The sequence below is a fragment of the Homo sapiens genome, chromosome 4 (assembly GCF_000001405.40).
Source record: "Homo sapiens chromosome 4, GRCh38.p14 Primary Assembly".
NCBI classification, from domain to species: domain Eukaryota; kingdom Metazoa; phylum Chordata; class Mammalia; order Primates; family Hominidae; genus Homo; species Homo sapiens.
In genome coordinates, this window is record NC_000004.12 from 187,242,935 (window position 1) to 187,261,139 (window position 18,205).

An 18,205-nucleotide genomic window follows, 5' to 3' on the forward strand; every position below is an offset into this window, starting at 1 on the left:
CTATTTTATCAAAAAAATCATTCTCCAAATCTACATCAAATAGCTCCATGTTTTCTTCTAGTTGTTTTGAGTTTCAGGTCTTACATTTAAGACTAACCCATTTTGAGTTGATTTTTATATATGATGTGACATAAGGATACAATTTCATTCTTCTGCATGTAGATATTCAGTTTTCCTAACACCACTTATTGAAGAGACTGTCTTTTATTCGTGCGTGTTATTGGTGCCTTTGTGAGAGAGCAATTGACTGTAAATGGGTGCATTTATTTCTGAACTGACAATTCTTTATTATTACCATTTTTAATTGACACATAATAATTGTACATATTTATGGAGTACGGTGTGGCATTTTGATAAATGTGTACAATGTGTAATAATCAAATCAGCACAATTAGTAAATTCATTACCTCAAACACTTATTTCTTTGTGCTGGGAACATTCAAAATCTTCTCTTCTAGCTATTTTAAAGTATACAAAAATTGTTGACTATAGTCATGCTACAATGCTATACAACAGTGGAACTAATTCCTCCTAGATAGCTATGATTTTGTATTCATTAACTGACCTCTCCCCAGCCTCCTCTCCTGACTACACTTCCTAGTCTCTTTATTCTACTCTCTACTTCTGTAAGATCAACTTTTTTAGCTTTCACATATGAGTGAGAACATGCAATATTCATCTTTCTGTGCCTGGACTATTTTATTGCACATAATGTCTTCCAGACTCATCTATATTTATGTGATTGACAAAATTTCATTCGTTTTTATGGCTGATTAGTGTTCCAACATGCATATACACCACATTTTCTTTATCCGTTCATCTGTTGTTGGACACTTAGGTTGGTTTCATATCTTGGATATCATGAATTGTACTGCAATAAACATAAGAGTGTAGATATCTCTTCAGCATACTGATTTTTTTTTCCTTTGAATACACAACCAGTAGTAAGATTGCTGGACTATATAGTAATTCTATTTTTAGTTTTTTGAGGAACCACCATACTCTTTTCCATAATGGCTGTACTAATTTACATTCCCACCAACAGTGTATGAGTTGCTGGTTTGTGTATTCTGTTCCTTTGGTTAATATGTCTGTTTATATAACAGTACCATGCTGTTTTGTTTATTATAGCTTTGCAGTATATTTTGAAACCAGGCAGTGGGATGTTTCTAGCTTTGTTCTTGCTCCAGGGTATTTTGTTTACTTGGGGTCTTTTGTGGTGCCAAACAAATATTAGAATTTCTTTTTCTATGTCTGTGAAAAGTGCCATTAAAATTTTGGTAGATATTTCATTAAATCTGAAGATGTCCCTGGGTCGTATGTACATTTTAACAATATTAATTCTTCCAATTCATGAACACATGATATCTTTCCATTTATTTATATTTTTCAATTTTTGTCATCAATGTTTTATACTTTTGAGTGTACAAATCTTTTATCTCCTTAAATTTATTTCTAAGTATCTTTTTTTTTGATGCTACTGTAAAAAGGATTGTTTTCTTCATTTCTTTTTTGGAATAGTTCATTGTTAGTGTATAGAAATTCTACTAATTTTTGTATGTTGATTTTATGTCTTTCAACTTTACTGAATTTATTTGTTAGTTCTGACAGGTTTTGTGGAGCTTTTAGTTTTTTTATATAAAAAATTCATGTCATTTACTAACAGAGACAATTTAACTTCTTCCTTTTCAATTTGGAGGTTTTTTGTTTCTTTCTCTTACATAATTTGCTAGAACTTTCAGTACTACGTTGACAAGTGGTGACAGTGGGCATCTTTCTCTTGTTTCTGGCCTTAGAGGAAAAGGTTTTAGCTTTTCTCCATTGAGTGTGATGTTTTCCATGGGCTTGTCCATGTGTGGTCTTTATTGTGGTCTGGTACATTTTTTCAATACCTAATTTGTTGAGTTTTCATCATGAGAGAATGTTGAATTTTGTCAAATGCTTTTTTTTTTTGCATCTACTGAAATGATTATATACTTTTTGTCCTTCATTATGTTAATCTGATGTATCACATTTGTTGATTTGTGTATGATGAACCATCCTTGTATTCCAGGCATAAGTCCCACTCAATCACAGTGAGTGATCCTTTGAACGTGGTATTGAATTCAGTTTGCCAGTATTTTGTTGAGGATTTTTACATCTGTATTCATCAGTGACATTTGCCTGTAGTTTTCTTTTCTTGTAGCCTTCTTGTCTGATTTTAGTATCAAGATAAGGCTGGCCTTGTAAAATGAGCTTGAAAGTATTCCTTTTTCTTCAATTTTTTGGAAGAGTTAGAGAAGAACTTGTATAATTTCTTTAAATGTTTGGTAGAATTCAGCAGTGAAGCTATCAAGTCATGAGGTTTTCTTTGATGTTTTTGAGGGTTTTTTTTTTATCATTTCTAATTCAATGTCCTTAATCTTTATTGGTCTATTCATGTTTTCTACTCCTTCATCAGTTAATCTTGGTAGGTTGTTTGTCTCCAGGAATGTATCTGTTTCTTCTAGGTTATCCATATTGTTGGTATACCTTTTGCACCTCTGTGGTGTCAGTTGTAATGTCATCTCTTTCATTTATGATTTTATTTTTATGTCTTATATTTTTCTTAGTCTAGCTAAAGGTTTTGGAATTTTGTTTATCTTTTCAAAAAATCAGCTCAATTTGGTTAATATTTTTATTGTTTTTTCTGATGTCTATTTATTTTTGCTCTGATCTTTATTATTTTCTTTCTTCTACTAAATTTGGGCTTACTTTGTTCTTATTCTAATTCTTGGAGATGTAACATTAAGTTGTTTGAGATTTCTCCATTTTTGATGTGGGTGTTTATTGCTGTAAATCTATTAGAAATGTTTTTGTTGTATCCCATATATTTTGGTATATTGCATGTTCATTTTTATGTCTTGAAATATTTTTAAATTTTCTTTTAATTTTTTTCTTTGACACATTGATTGTTCAGGAACATGTTTAATTTCTACATATTTGGGAATTTTCCAAAATTCCTCCTGTCATTGATTTCTACTTTTATAGTATTGTGGTTAGAAAAGATACTTGATATGATTTTAATCTTCTTAAATTTGTTAAGGCTTGTTTTGCGACCTAACATATAATCTATCCTGGAGAATGTTCCCTGTGTACTTGAAAAGAATGTGTATTCTGCTGCTGTTGGATGGAGTGTCGAATATATGTCTGTTAGGTCCATGTAATCTTTATTGTTGCTCAAGTTTGCTGCCTTTGACCTGGAGCCCGTGTCTGCAGGGGCTGGCCTAACACCAGGGTTTAATGGGGTGGGCTTGGTAGCAGGGTCTGTGGCAAAGTCAGGTTCTCATTTTCCTCTCTTTTACCTTTGTGGAGGTATCTCTCAGCACAGTGCTTCCTGGGCTTAGGAGAGGAGTTTCAAAAGTAATATGAAACTCTCCTACCCTCTTCAATGTGTGTTTTCTTATTCCTGTGCTCTACCCAGGTGCTGTAACCTCTCATCTGGTTCCCTTGGCTCTTGTGAAAGTATTTTTATTTGTGAATAATTGTTCAAATTAATGTTTCTGGAAGGGATGAGGGCTGGAAACTTCTATCTACTATCTTGCTGATGTTGTTCTGTCTTGAGCTGCGTTTTTAAGTAGCATGCTGCTTCTTGCTGAAAGAGCATCTAACAACCTTAAAATAGGACTCTGGTGAATACTTCCACACCTTCAAGCATCAGAAGTCTGCCAGTCTGTGATTCCAATCCTTTCCCAACAAAAGTCAAATGCTAGCATAATTGAGAGAACAAGATGGTTGTCACCTTGGGAAGTAAGGAGTATGAAGAATTATTCAGGCATGTGTCACTGGGGATATAGGTGCCACTGATGCAAACAGGAAAGTGAGGAAGAAAAAGTATGATAGGGTTTGAGTTTAACTTTAGGTAAAAACAACACTACTTATGAACTGTAATGGTGATTAGGCAATAGGAGATATTTACAGCGTGGACTACAGTGTTTGATATCAGTATTTAGAAATGGTCAATAGAAAGGTAATTCAGGTTGAGGCTATTAGAAAAATGCTGATTTGACACTGCGAGATGTTGGAGTTACAAGAGAAAAATGAAAAGCCTCAAAGGTAAGAGAAAGAAAGAAAATGTTCCTTATTTTGATGATCCAAATTCTTAGGAGTCAAAAGTTAAAAAAAAAGCTTATTGTAAAAATTTATGATTATTAAGTAACTTGATTACCATTAGTAAAAATACCACTTTTTAAAAGTCATAGTTAAATAAAAGTGTTTGAAAATAAAGATGGAAGGATTTCATATTAGGGGAAAATATTGTTTATAAAATGTAAGTATATTTAAATATATTTAATTTAGAATACATCAAATGCCCTTGTAAAATATTAGAAAATTAAAACAAGAAAACAGATCTATGAACTTAACTTATCCCAGAGATTGACATATTTTTCTTCATAGTTCCAACTTATTCTAAAAGTAAATTTTACTCAGAAGTTTAAAAATACTATTAATCATTAAGAGTTGTGTTTATTGGAATCTTTTTATGGTAGCCTTGCCTAATTACAATTAAGCTTATATTTAACTTCTGCAAATGTCAAAATAATTAATAAAGTAATCCAACAGCTCTCTCTCTCACTCTCTTTTCTCTCTTTCTCTCTCTGTTCTCCTACAAATGTATATATATCCATGTTCAACGTGCTGCACTAGGTGCTTTGGCTGACAACAATAAGGTAGAGTCCAGAGGTAATATAAACACATACGCAAATAATTATAATACAAGTTAGAATATTTTCTGGTTCATTAGATATGAATTATTGAGTGGTGGTTATAAATGTTGAATACATTCTCTATTCATTCCTGATTGATTATAGTTAGGTAGCGGTGTAAGGCAAATTTTGATGGAATGATGGCTAATTTCAAAAATCTCAATGCTATAATTTTTAGAAAATAAATAGGTATATTATGAAGCAAATAAGCCTTTTGCTCCGTTTAGAATTTCACATTGATTTATGTAGTTTCCTGAAGAATATTTACGGCAATGTAATTAATTTTGAATGTTCAGATAATGTTATTGTCAGGCCATGCAGACTTAATTCATAGCAAGCTCTTAGGCAGAAGAAGTACATAAAATCCAAGCTGTTGACTATTAGTTTCAGTAAGTGCATTGAAGCAATTTTTAACAAGTGCTCTTTAGGTAATTCAGATTTTAGACTTAATCATAAACCTTTCTAGAGCATTTCTATGCCAACTAAACTTTAAATATAAACAGAAAAATCTGTATGCCAATATGTTAATAAAATCTAAGCATGATAAAGAAAAAATAGACATGCTCACTGAGATTTTAAAAGTTAAAACATTGCTTACTACATACTAGTCATAGTTGAAGAGAATTTACTAAAGATTTTGGACTCACTTAGCAGTGTGCACACATATCTTACTTACATAATTACTTGAAGCAACCACTTGAATCCATCTTGTTCATTTTGCATTTTATAAGAAAGAACAAACTAATTATGACTCTACACAGAAGACAAATATAAGCCTTGTTTGCTGGGTTCATTTAGTCGTATACCTCTGCCGCTCAGAAGAGCATAAAGTAGAGAAAAAGCAGAAGTGGTCATTATTCTGCATGTTGTAGCAGTGTGCTTAAAAGGTTAAATATCCCCTGGAGCCAACTGTCACTAAAGGATGGAAGGGATGCTGGTTTTCTTCCATGCTAGGGCACAGGCAGCAACATGCTGATCAGGAAGCCATACCTCGAGAGAATGACTTGAAATGGGCTAATGTGGACAGAGTGAAGATTTATGTGCTGTGATGGAAGAATGAGGAAAGTGCTAGCACAAGACACAAGTCAGCCCGATGGCAAGCGAACCGTTAACGTGAGCTGAAATTCAGTGCAATATACAAACAAGGGGCATGACAGAGAGAAAATATTTGAATATCTGCGTATGTAGGCTTACTCTAAAGGAGAACAATGTTGCCTCTTCAAAGGTCTTCAGTTGAACTATGATAACTTGATATGTGCTCCCTTAAACTTATGTTTAGAGAGAAATAGACAATTTGAGAACACAAGAGCCAAAGTATTATAATGCGATATATTTAAAGATTTCAAGCCATGGTTACTTTCACAGACAACAGCGTGAAGCTCAGGTGGCCCAAGATATTCAATTCTGTCTAGAGCTCACTAGGTGTGGTCTTGGATCAAGTTGGTGCTGGAACAATGATGGATATACAACTCGAAAGATTTATATTCATTCTGTGGCAACTCCTAAAAATGCCCTACTTGTTTAGGGTCTTCTATATGAGGTGCCAACCCTGCAGCTACGAGTGTAGGCAGGGCTCACCTGCCCAAAGTGAGAGACGAGCATCCTTCATAAGCAGAAATATGCTTGGAAGTGGAATCATAGCTTGTGCCGAACAGTGAGCAAAGCTTCTATGTAAGCCATGTGAATGGGTGATGGCACTTTACAGATCTGTCAAATTTACAGCCAAAATATTGGTGTCACTTCAGTTGCTTTATTAAATATTACAGGGTATTATATGTCAAATTTTATTTCTAGTTAGCAATCCTATTACTTCATTACAGATTTGGATTATAAAATCTGAAGTGAGTTGTCATTTTGTAGCATAACTGTATCATGTTTATTTTAGTCAATTACATAGTTGATTTAAAAAACTGATTTTCTGGGTCACACAAAATTAATTTTCATATTTTTTACAAATTTGTCACAAAGACGAATCAATGACTAATACGTACTGCATTATGTTTAAATGATTGATTGTATATGGGTGAAGCTACTTCTCTAATTATAAAACTTTCCCCTGACTGCTTTCTATGTGTTTACCCTGTTGGAGTAAGAAAGGGATAAATGGCAACAATTTTCTTTTGAAATGTTATATTTTCTGAATTTATATATGGACAGTATTTTTCCCACAGTTACATGATAGTAATTGATTGATTAAATTACTATCATGTAACTGTGGGAAAAATACTGTCAATCAATTCATAAACATTATGTTGAAAACTATCGACCACTATTAGTTTAATTGGGTTTATGTTGCTCTTAGTAGGAACTAAACTATATTTACTAGCAAATAAGAATTCATTGTAGATCTCTGTTGGGAGACAATCCTCTTTTCGTCTTTTGCATTTTGGCATGTCTTGGGAGCAGAGGTGGTAACTGCTGGTCTTCCGTGCTATTTTTTTCAAGGATTTGTTTAGTAGCAGATGCCTTGGAAGATAAAGATAAGTGTCTCTCTCCAGGGAAAGAGCAGGTTTGCTGAAATAACAACAATATCTTCCTTTAGAAGCCCTATTGTAGGCTTACTGCCTACAATATAAAATACTGGGGAACCTAAAGGCAGGGTTCCTCTCCTGTAATACAATGTATTGCCACTGCAGGTACAGGTGTCCTCTACTTCTCTTTAAGTTGCCCTTTAGGAATTAAGCTTGCAGAAGTAAGACAAGAAAATGCTGATACTCTGGCTACTGATGGTTCTTGAGTAATAAAGTCCTTTGCCTCTGACCTGTGAGTCCCATGACTTTTGACAGAACCCATGAGACTGTGCCAGGCTAACTTATTAGCTTCCAAGTAGGATAAAAATCTCGGACCCTTCATTGTTCTTGGCAGTATCATGACACGAAACAAAGAACAATGGGAGCACTTTAAGAGGAGAGAAAAGAGAAGGAGACAAGGTTTTCCCTTCAGACACTGTGAATTTCTGCCCTTGGCATGAAAGTGTGTATGTGCATTCAATTAAGTTAATATGATTTCCTTAGATTGTCATAATCTCCTAAGTGTGTGTGTGAGTGCATTTACAAGACAGGAGGCTTCTGACAGTTGTTAAAAGGATTCAGGAGCTTAGATTGTGGAAACAGCTGGTTGATTTTTCTCCATCACTTTGGCTAATAGGGGAAATGAAAGAATATACTAGGTGATTTTATATATATATATATATAACTTTTAACTTTAGGTCTATAGAATATTGAGGGATAGTTAAGATTTGATAGACTTCTGAACTGATCTATAAAATGAACTGTGTGCAGTCTTTGCCTTTATGTATTATACTTTAATGGATCAGATCAGACTTTCTCTCAAATTCTTTTTGTCTAGAGCAGGCCTGGTGAGTGAAATACAGGTGGTGTGACTTCTGCAAAAGGTGGATTAGCCCCAAACACGTGGTGCGCGTTCACAGGGATTCTGGGAAAAAGTCTTCCTGAAATAAACTCTTCCATTTGCTCTCAGATGCCTGGAATTCTTTACCACCAAAAGGAAATCCTTTCATCCAATGTTTACAGTAAAGGATTACAATGCACATACACTGGGAAAGGTATGCTTGCTTAAGCTGGAACCTTGCTGTACAAGAATAATAGATTTCCTAATAGCTGGTCTTCAGTCTTAAACTGGTGGTGGTAGGTCTTTATATGAAAGGGAGAAATACGGTCAGAATAATTTTGTTAATTAAGATAATTCTCATTACCCATATCCAGTGCCGGCAAGCAAATTTTTATCGTGCATGCAAACGCGACTTGATTGTCAGTGGTTTCCTAGAGGGCTGCTCAAGGATTCTAGGGCATGTCCAGGTTCATTGAGACCGCTCTGTTGTCAGTGAGCCACGGTCTCCAGGAGCATCAAGGGAAAGTTGTTGCACATAAACTAGATATTTGGTTCCCACATTATTAGCTGCAAATGGCTTACTAAAAGTAAATGTGTCCATTTCCGATATCCTGTCATCTAGTAGCCAGGAGCTGATGTCAAAAATTAATGGCACATTTTCATTTCTTGTCTTTCTAGTTCTCCCTTCGGCAGCACCTACAGCATATTCTTGCTTCTGAGCTGAATATCTGCGTTCCTGCTAAACCAGAGATCACAGTTATCAGGTGATTGATCAACTCCAGTGTATCAAATCACAAAGTTGAACAACCATATCATCTAATTTTAGACCATTTTGTCACTCCAAATCTATTGTACTTATTAGAAGTGGCTCCCCATGCCTTCTCCCCATCTCTACCGACCTCTCTGTCCTCAACTCTCAGGAACCACTAATCTATCTTCTTTCTCTATAGATGCCTCCTCTGGACATTTCATATGAATGGATAAATATAATACGAAGTCTTTCGTCACTGCTTTCTTTCACTTAGAATGTTGTAGCATGCGTCAGCACTTCCTTCCTCTTTATCACTGAGTGGTATTCCATTGTATGGATAGGCCTCACTTGGTTTATCTACTCATTAGTGGATGTAGTTGGATGGTTTCCAGCTTTAGCTTTTATGAATAAAATTGCTATGAACATTCCTGTGTGAGTTTTTGTGCAGACATATGTTCTTATTTCTCTTGGGTAAATACCTAGGGGTGAAATTGTTGGAAGATGTAATAATTCTGTGCTCAACATTTTGAGGAATTACCAAATTATTTTCCAAACTGGCTGCACTATTTTACATTCCTACTAGCAATGCATGAAGATTATAATTTCTACACATCTTAGCTTGTATTTTAGTTATAATTTCCATGTTTCTCTCCCCCAATAAACTGAAGATTGAACTCTATTTTGAGCTATTTTTCATTCATTTTTATGTTATCAGGAATCTCTAAAATATGTAAAAATTAGAAGAGGGATGGAAGGCTGAGTGTGGATATAACTTGACAGATAGGAAATTTAAAAACTTAATCTAAGATTTTAACACTTTTTCTTGACCTAATTTTTCCTGACCTTCTTAATGGGACAGGCTCTAATGTGCTATTTAGCCTGATTTTCACACATATTATTATGAGTACTCAAATCTAAAAATAACAACTTTGTCAATATTTCCTCAGGACTATGACCAGGGTGCCATGAGAATGTGATATTATAATATCATCTCTGCACTTAATTTTAAAGAAGGAAATCATATTCAAATGACAATGCCTTCAACAGTGGTTCCATGAAAAGAATAGCAAATTTCTGTTCAACAATGAGCGTGAGAAAGAAAAACAGGAGAACTCAGGAAATATGAATAGTTTAAGTTAGTTCAGCCATTGTGGGAAACAGTGTGGTGATTCCTCAGAGACCTAAAAACAGAAATATTATTCAACCCAGCAATCCCATTACTGTATATATACCCAAAGGAATATAAATCATTCTGTTATGAAGACATATGCACATGTGTGTTCACTGCAGCACTATTAACAAAAGCAAAGACACAGAATCAACACAAATGCCCATCAATGACATATTGGATAAAGAAAATGTGGTACATATACACTATGGAATACTATGCAGCCATACAAAAGAACAAGATCATGTCCTCTACAGGGACCTGGGTGGAGCTGGAAACTGTTATCCTTAGCAAACTAACGTAGGAACAGAAAACCAAATACTGTATGTTCTCACTTATAAGTGGAAGCTAAATGATGAGAACACTGGTCACATAGAGGGGAACAACACACATTGAGGCCTTTCGGAGAGTAGAGGTTAATGGGTGGGAGAAGGGAGAGAATCAGGAAAAATTACTAATGGGTAGAGGGCTTAATACCTGGCTGATGAAATAATCTGTACAACAGACCCCCATGACACAAGTTTACCTGTGTAACAAACCTGCACTTGTACTCCTGAACTTCAAAGTTAAAAAAAAAAACACTTAAAGTAAAAATAAAACTGTACAATTAATGAGACTTTTTATAAGTCAAAAAAGCCATTAAATAATATTCTCTTGCACGTTACATATTGAATTTCGCTACAACCTTTTCTGTTTTACCTAAGTTTTTCAGAACTGACATAGATTGTGTTAATTACACAAAAATTCAGAGGGTGGCAAGAGTACATACATTTCCATATTTTAATCTTCACCTTGCAAGAAGGCACATGTGGCTTAGAAGCTCTTCCGTCCAGGACTGAGGTATTTACCTGACATATCTTAGATGTCAGTGAATCAACTGTCAGCATTTATTGATCATCTTCCAGGATATTAGTGCTTTGCAAGTATCTCTGGATTAATGAGTAAACATTTTGCAAGTGATTTGCAAGTATCTCTGGATTAATGAGTAAAAGAGGCAGTGAGGAAGAGGCTCAGAGATTATTCTAACTGATGATTTAAAAATATTTTAGAATGACTTGTGCATGGTGATTACTGAATACTCATGAGGAGCCTTCAGTCCACCTGTGCTGGGCACACATCAAGTCTCCATGTTGTATAATGAGTCTTTTTATGAGTTCACAATTTGTGTCATTGATTTTAACAAATTGACATTTATTATCTGAGCAAGTTTAATATTTCCCCAAACCTTCAGCTATGCAAAGACATGCTTTTGATGGTAAATCTTCAGTGTTTTGTATGGAATTCCAGCACAGGTATGTCTCATTTTCAGAATCACTTTTTCTTGGAAGTCTGTCTTAAAAAATATTACATTAAAGAAAGAGACCCTGGATTGTCCTTAAGAAAAAAGATGATTGAGTTTAGCAAATCTACATTTCCCCATATATATCTACTTTCCACAGTAAAACGAATCCTGATTCTGAAATTTCCTTATGATATTTTTATCTAATTTTCATTTTGAGGGCACAGAAAATGGAATGAATTACACTTATCTTCATCACTGGGGTTTAGTATAAAACAAAAATGTTCCCAAATGGCAAAACCAAGAAAAGGTATAAAACTTAAACATAACTTTTATTCTACATCTATATTAATACAGTACAGAATAAACTCATTGGGTTTTGTTCGATCCTAAATATAGCAAGAACGCCTATTGTGAGTCTGCAATTGAATTTTTCTCACTTGAAGCTACTACCTAAAATTTTACCTTACCTTTAGACAGTTAAAATAGGGGAAAAAAGAAAATGTTTTGGACAAGTATTATTGAAACATGATTTGATCAAAATCATTTCGCTCATTTATTTTGATTATATTTTCAAATTCATATAATATATGACATATGAGTCATATAACATACAATATATATGACATATAAAAGTCATGTAACTCATATTTTTACTTTCTGGCCAAGAAAATGCCATTTGTTACTTAAGGTTTTTCTTTTAGTGAAAATTCAAAATCAAATAATGAAAAAGTGTTTAACACAATTAGAACATATATTGGAATAAACAATTCCTATTGTTTTGTATTGTATTGTTTGGTTGGTTGTCCATAACAGACCTCTGTGAGAACTGGATTATGAATTTTTATTGCTACGATCTACTTTGATTAATTCATAATTGCTATGTTTCATGAGTTTATAATGCTGACAGAGTTAGTATATCTCAAAGTGCAAATTCATAAAGGAAGGGTAACTTGATTCTAATTCAATTACTTAGGAATTCAACTTTGAGCCAGTTGGTACTTAAAGAAGTCTGGATTTGTTGATTTTACTTCACAGTAATACTTTCCAGTTGCCATTGCTATTTATTTATTATTTTTGCATATTCTCCACACTTATCTAAGATGGCTGCTATACTCAGAATTTCCAGAGATTAATATGCTGAGGTCTGAAAATTCAAGTGTGCAATAAGCATTGTCTGGTAAACTATAAGCCCTTCCATGTGAAATTAGTCTTGGGCTTGGTTCGTAATTGGTCACCCTTTTACTTCCATGCAATCCTTTTCTTTACAATGAGAAAATGAGCATATCATTTATTCATTCATTCACTGATCAGATATTCATGAGAGCCTACTGTAAGCCAAGCATGATTCCAGCACCGAAATTAACTGTGGTGAATCAGGCAGGCAAGCTCTCAGCTCTTGGGAAGCTTACAGGCTAATGAGAGAGACAGCCAATTAACAAGACAACAATAAATAAAGATCAAAGTGCTATAAAAACTACACAAGGGAATGTGGAAAAGGGGAGTCTGGGGCACTTCATCAGATGGGATAGTTAAGAGTGGCCACTCTCTGTAGATGACATTTGAGCTGAACCCTCAATAATGAGAAACAAGAAACTATGCAACGATCTTGGAAAATTACCTCCAGACAGAGGAAGTAGCAAGGCAAAGATTCTGTGCCTGTGATTCCTTACCATTTGCATTTTCTGCTTTGTTAGGGGTTCTTTACATAAACATTTATCCACACCAATAGGGCATAGTAACATCTGTTCTTGTTAATTTTACTCAGAGGACTGAGTAGTTTAGAGGAAAAATCAATTGGTGATCCATCTCTCTACTGCAAGGATAACATACTTTGTTTTACTGGTGTAAAAAGTTTGGGTTGGACTTTCTTGTGTTTTCAAAACTGGTTCCCCTCTTGGGATTAGTGGCACTGAGAGTCATCATATAGAAAGCAATAGAGAAAAAAAAGTGGCTGTTGTGAATAAGAGAAAACGGGAGAAATGCTGGCCTCTGGTCTAAAGCAAGAACAAAAACCTGATATATCTTGGTTTTGTTTTGTAAGAAAAATCAATGAGTTTATCTTATTTTCTGACATGTTGGTGTTATATTGCTGAGTTGTCATCTTAATTTCTGTTCTTAGAGGCAATCAGATGCATGGATCCTTAAAAAACAGTAATCCTGGGCCGGGCGCGGTGGCTCACGCCTGTAATCCCAGCACTTTGGGAGGCCGAGGCGGGCGGATCATGAGGTCAGGAGATCGAGACCATCCTGGCTAACACGGTGAAACCCCATCTCTACTAAAAATACAAAAAATTATCCGGGCGTGGTGGCGGGCGCCGGTAGTTCCAGCTACTCGGGAGGCTGAGGCGGGAGAATGGCGTGAACCCGGGAGGCGGAGCTTGCAGTGAACCGAGATCAGCCACTGCACTCCAGAGTGCAGACTCCATCTCAAAAAAAATAAAAAAAATAATAAAAAATCCTGATTATCGTTCTAGCGGTTCTCAAACTGACTTGTGTGTACAAAAAGGTGCTTCCTGTAAGTAATTGTTCATCACCTTATAAGGCTTATTAGGATATATGTTATAACTGTATAAATCTATTATATATATCTTTATATAAACACACTCATATATACATAGTTATATACATACATACTTTTCATCAGAATTACTGAAATCAACTAATACCACCAAACCAAACTAAGGAGATAGTCCCCCCATAAAACTTGAGGCTATGATGTGTCTGATAAGCCATGGCCAGAAGCTTGCACATGCACTCAAGCACGAGCACTAGTGCACAACCAGCCAAAGTGAGAAAACCAGTGAGATAAAGAGGCCTGCCTAAGGTCACACAGAAGGGCGGCGGGTAGTCTGAGAACACAGCCACGACTCTGGGCTGCCAATTCAGTCCAGTGCTTCCTCCTGGGGAAAATTACAGACCAGCTCAGACGGTACCTGCACAGACAATGGCCTTATTCTTTCTTTACTCTCCTAATTTGATTATTTTTTTCTTGCCGTAGGACTTAAGTAAGACATTTTGGCAGGCACTTAAAAAGAGGAGTGCCAGGCACAATGAAAGAGTCCATGGGTGATTCTGCTGCAAGACCAAGGAGAAATAAGTTATTGATGATGTTTAAAGGCAGAGAGGCCCATGGCTTACTGAGTACCCAGTGTTGCTGATAACTCTCATCTTCTTATTCCTCTGTTGGAAAAAAATTATAGGGTTGAATTGCTCCTTAACTGTTTTCTAAGGAGAAAAAAGGGATAGTGTTTATTGCATTGATTTTTTTGCTTTATTTAATTTATTTTTCAAAATTCTTCTTTAATAGCACATTGAAACATGGATGTGTAAATTGTTTTATGTCTTCTTATCTTCAAGTGCAGTAACTAACAATGACAATTTTTCCAGTTGCTTATCACTCTGCTGCAACCAATAATAGTTATTCATAAGTTACTCTTTTTAATGCATAAGGCTATTGAATAATGTTAGTCTTAAACTAGGTATCTTATTCCATAGTTGAAGACTGTAGACTGTTTTTGAACATTCTTTGAACCATTTCTTGTGGTTCAAATGAGTTCAGCCACCACTATAGTTTCACCAAGTCTTCCTTAGAGTGAGAGTACCTTGTCAGCCTTCTGGACTTCAGTGTAAATGGCAAATTGTAAGGGGTAAATAAGTGTATGTGTGCTTTGTAGGAAGGCACCAGAGGTCTGTGCAAGTTTTGTTTGTTTGTTTGTTTGTTTGTTTTTGGAGACAGAGTTTTGCTCTTGTTGCCCAAGCTGGAGTGCAATGGTGCGATCTTGGCTCACTGCAACTTCCACCTCCTGGGTTCAAGCAATTCTCCTGCCTCAGCTTCCTGAGCAGCTGGGATGACAGGCGCGTGCCTCCATGCCTGACTAGTTTTTTGTATTTTTAGCAGAAACGGGCTTCACCATGTTACCCAGGCTGGTCTTGAACTCCTGACCTCAGGTGATCTGCCCGCCTCAGCCTCCCAAAGTGCTGGGATTACAGGCGTGAGCCACCGCGCCCGGCCAAGTATTTTTAAATGTACTGTCCTTGTGGAGGATTTCTTTGTCATAGAGCTCCTTCCTCTAGTGACCCTTTGTTAATCTGGGACAGTGTAAACTCAGCCATAAACTGTCAACTCCTGGAGAGGGGCTAGAGATCATTGGTCTTTTTATACCCAAGGCGTTGCCTGGAGGCCGGCCCCAGTGCAGATTCTCAATGAATGTGTGTTTGATTCATAATCATGTATGTACTATCTCTCTTCTAAAGGAACACCTTTAATCAAGCAAAGGAAATATAGCTGTATAAGTGGAGTATCTAGTCGGATCAATCATCTCGTATAGAATTTTGTGTGTTTATTCCTCTTTCAGTAGCTGAATTGATGCAAATGATAAACACTAAGGTCGCTGAACGGACATAAGGTAATGATTTTCACGGTGTTTTGGTTATACAATCTCCAAAACATGCAGCTTTATCTATAATACCATTCATAAGTTTAAAAATAATTGGTAAAAAGGCTGCAACTATACTTTCCATTGCCCTAAATATCTTCCAGAACTCATCTTGAATGACTTCTCCATCCCCCACCCTCCTGTGCCTTCTCTCTGCCAGAGGCTTCCCAGTTCGCCGGCCCAGACTCATCTTACAAAGAAAATACTCCGAATCAATTGGCAAGTGCTTACAAGTCATTAGCTTCTTGCTGAGTTAATTAGAAGTCATTAACTTCAAGGGTTAGGACACACAGAATACCCTTGCCTGGGGTTTCTGAACCGAATTTAAAGTTGTACATGGAAGACAATATCTAAATATCCTTAGTTTAAGAAATATGTTTAAGAAATAGTAAGAGTTTAAGCCCCCAAAAGCCCCAGTGATGTTCCCTCTAAAAATAAGTAAACATGTAAAACTAAAAACTCACATTTGAAAACTGTGACCTCCCAAGGAGTTGGACTGTAGCCAAAAAGCACATTGGATCCATTCCTGTATCCAAGGTAGTTTTTCCATTGGCCACCAGGTACTAAAGTTCCAACTCCCCTGCCCTAGAAATGTCGTGGCTGGCGGAGCCTGGGGGCATTGTCAGCCTCACATGCAGGAGGCATGGACATGTTCACCGCATGCACACACACCTTCACAATCAGTGCACTTACAAACACACATGCACACCTAATTTCTATTACTTGATAATGTGAGAATAAGAGCCAGAGTATACCTAAAAAGGAAAAGTCAAGCTTTAGAAAGTAACCACCTAAGTAAATTCCAAGTACTTGAGTCTGTACTTAGTATTTGATAACTTAAATACTCATTTGTACCACAGGCAAGCTAATTTTGTTAGATACTCACTGGGAGGTAGTTCTGTAATAGTATTATTGTTTGTATGCTGAGAAATTTATTCATTCAAAGAGACAGTCTGTATGCAAATCTGACAAAGAGATTTGAAATTGTAATGATTTCAGACATAGAAATGTTGTAAGTATTTCCAATTCTGCTTCAGAACTTACCTATTTAGATCTTTGCATCTTGCTCTCAATCAGTGTGTGTGTATCTCTCTCAAAAAATGTATGCAATGAACCAATGCTATATTCTTTGATTAAAAATAGAGACATGGTAGGTTTTTGATTTAAATGATAGGCTGGGGAATTTGACAACCCTGCTTTTTATATTGAGAAATTCAGTTAATTCTTCTAAGTCCTAATTTCTTCTTGTAAAAGATGAGAATAATAAAACATAGATGATAGTGAAATGAATTAATATGTAAAAGCACCTAAAATAGTGCCTCGCACATAACAAACATCAATAAATATTAATATCAACGATGTCAATTGTTGTTTGTAGAGCTAACCTATTCTGTCTTCATACGGATATTTTTGTACTGAGCCATGGTTAAGAATTCTAAAACAGATTTGATTTATCCCAAATATGAATATGTAGGAAGATGAAGCTAGGCAATGTAGATATTTCCTGTGACTATAATCTATATAGAGGTAAAAGCTTGCATTTTAACTTCACCTTATTGATAATGACTTACATTATTTCCTCTGTCTCCCATTTATTCCGTCACATTCTTTGTGATCACTGACAATTTCCACACTTGATTGGGTACCACCTTATTGGAATCTATACTTGACATTGTCCTTAAGCTAATGTGTGAACTTAAATGAGCTTTAGCAAAGCTTTCTTCAGTATCAATAGCAAAAACAACCTCACCTGCCATAAAATAAGCAGTTTCGGGTGTCTCGTGAACGTATGTATGTATGGCCAGACACGGTGGCTCACACCTGTAATCTCAGCACTTTGGGAGGCTGAGGCAAGAGGACACCTTAAGGCCAGGAGTTTGAGTCCAGCCTGGGCAACATAGGAAGACTCTGTCTCTACAAAAAAAAAAAAATTAAAAAATTAAAAAACACATTTTTAATGACATAAATACTTAAATGACAGCATTTAAAAGCAATGCTGTCAAACACACCAAATACCTAGGAATAAATTAAATGATAGATATGAAGAGTTTGTATGCTAAATATTATGTAACACTGAAAAATTTAAAAATGATTCTGAACATCACATTCCTAGATTGAAGATGATAAAGATGGCAATTCTGATGAGATTGATTGTATTCACTGAATGTAATCTCAGTCAAAATCATGGGAGAATTTGCAGAAATTGAAAAAATGATTCCAAAATTTACATGGGAGTACAAAAGACTACACATAACCAAGATAATGTTAGTTTTAAAAACTACTTAAAATGATTATTTAAAAGTTAAAAAATTGTTCATTAAAAATTTTAATTGCAAATATTATAAAAATTGATTAAACATGCAATTAAAAATTTTAAGTTAAAATTGTATAAATTTTCCAAACCTTCATGAATTTTTACTCATATATAAGCACTATGAAGTTTAAGATGTAGAGTTTTTTCAGAGGTCAGGATGGCTCCCTCATGCTGCCATC

General features: G+C 35.4%; 1 long non-coding RNA gene across 1 annotated transcript in view; it reads right to left on the minus strand.

Annotated features, from left to right (window-relative positions):
* LOC107986335 (uncharacterized) overlaps positions 1–17,626 on the minus strand; it is a 36,580-nt gene extending 18,954 nt beyond the window's left edge. Inside the window, exon 1 of the long non-coding RNA XR_007058508.1 lies at positions 17,463–17,626. This is a non-coding gene — a long non-coding RNA (uncharacterized LOC107986335). The remainder of the gene's footprint in view (positions 1–17,462) is intronic.
* Positions 17,627–18,205: the final 579 nt, after the last annotated feature.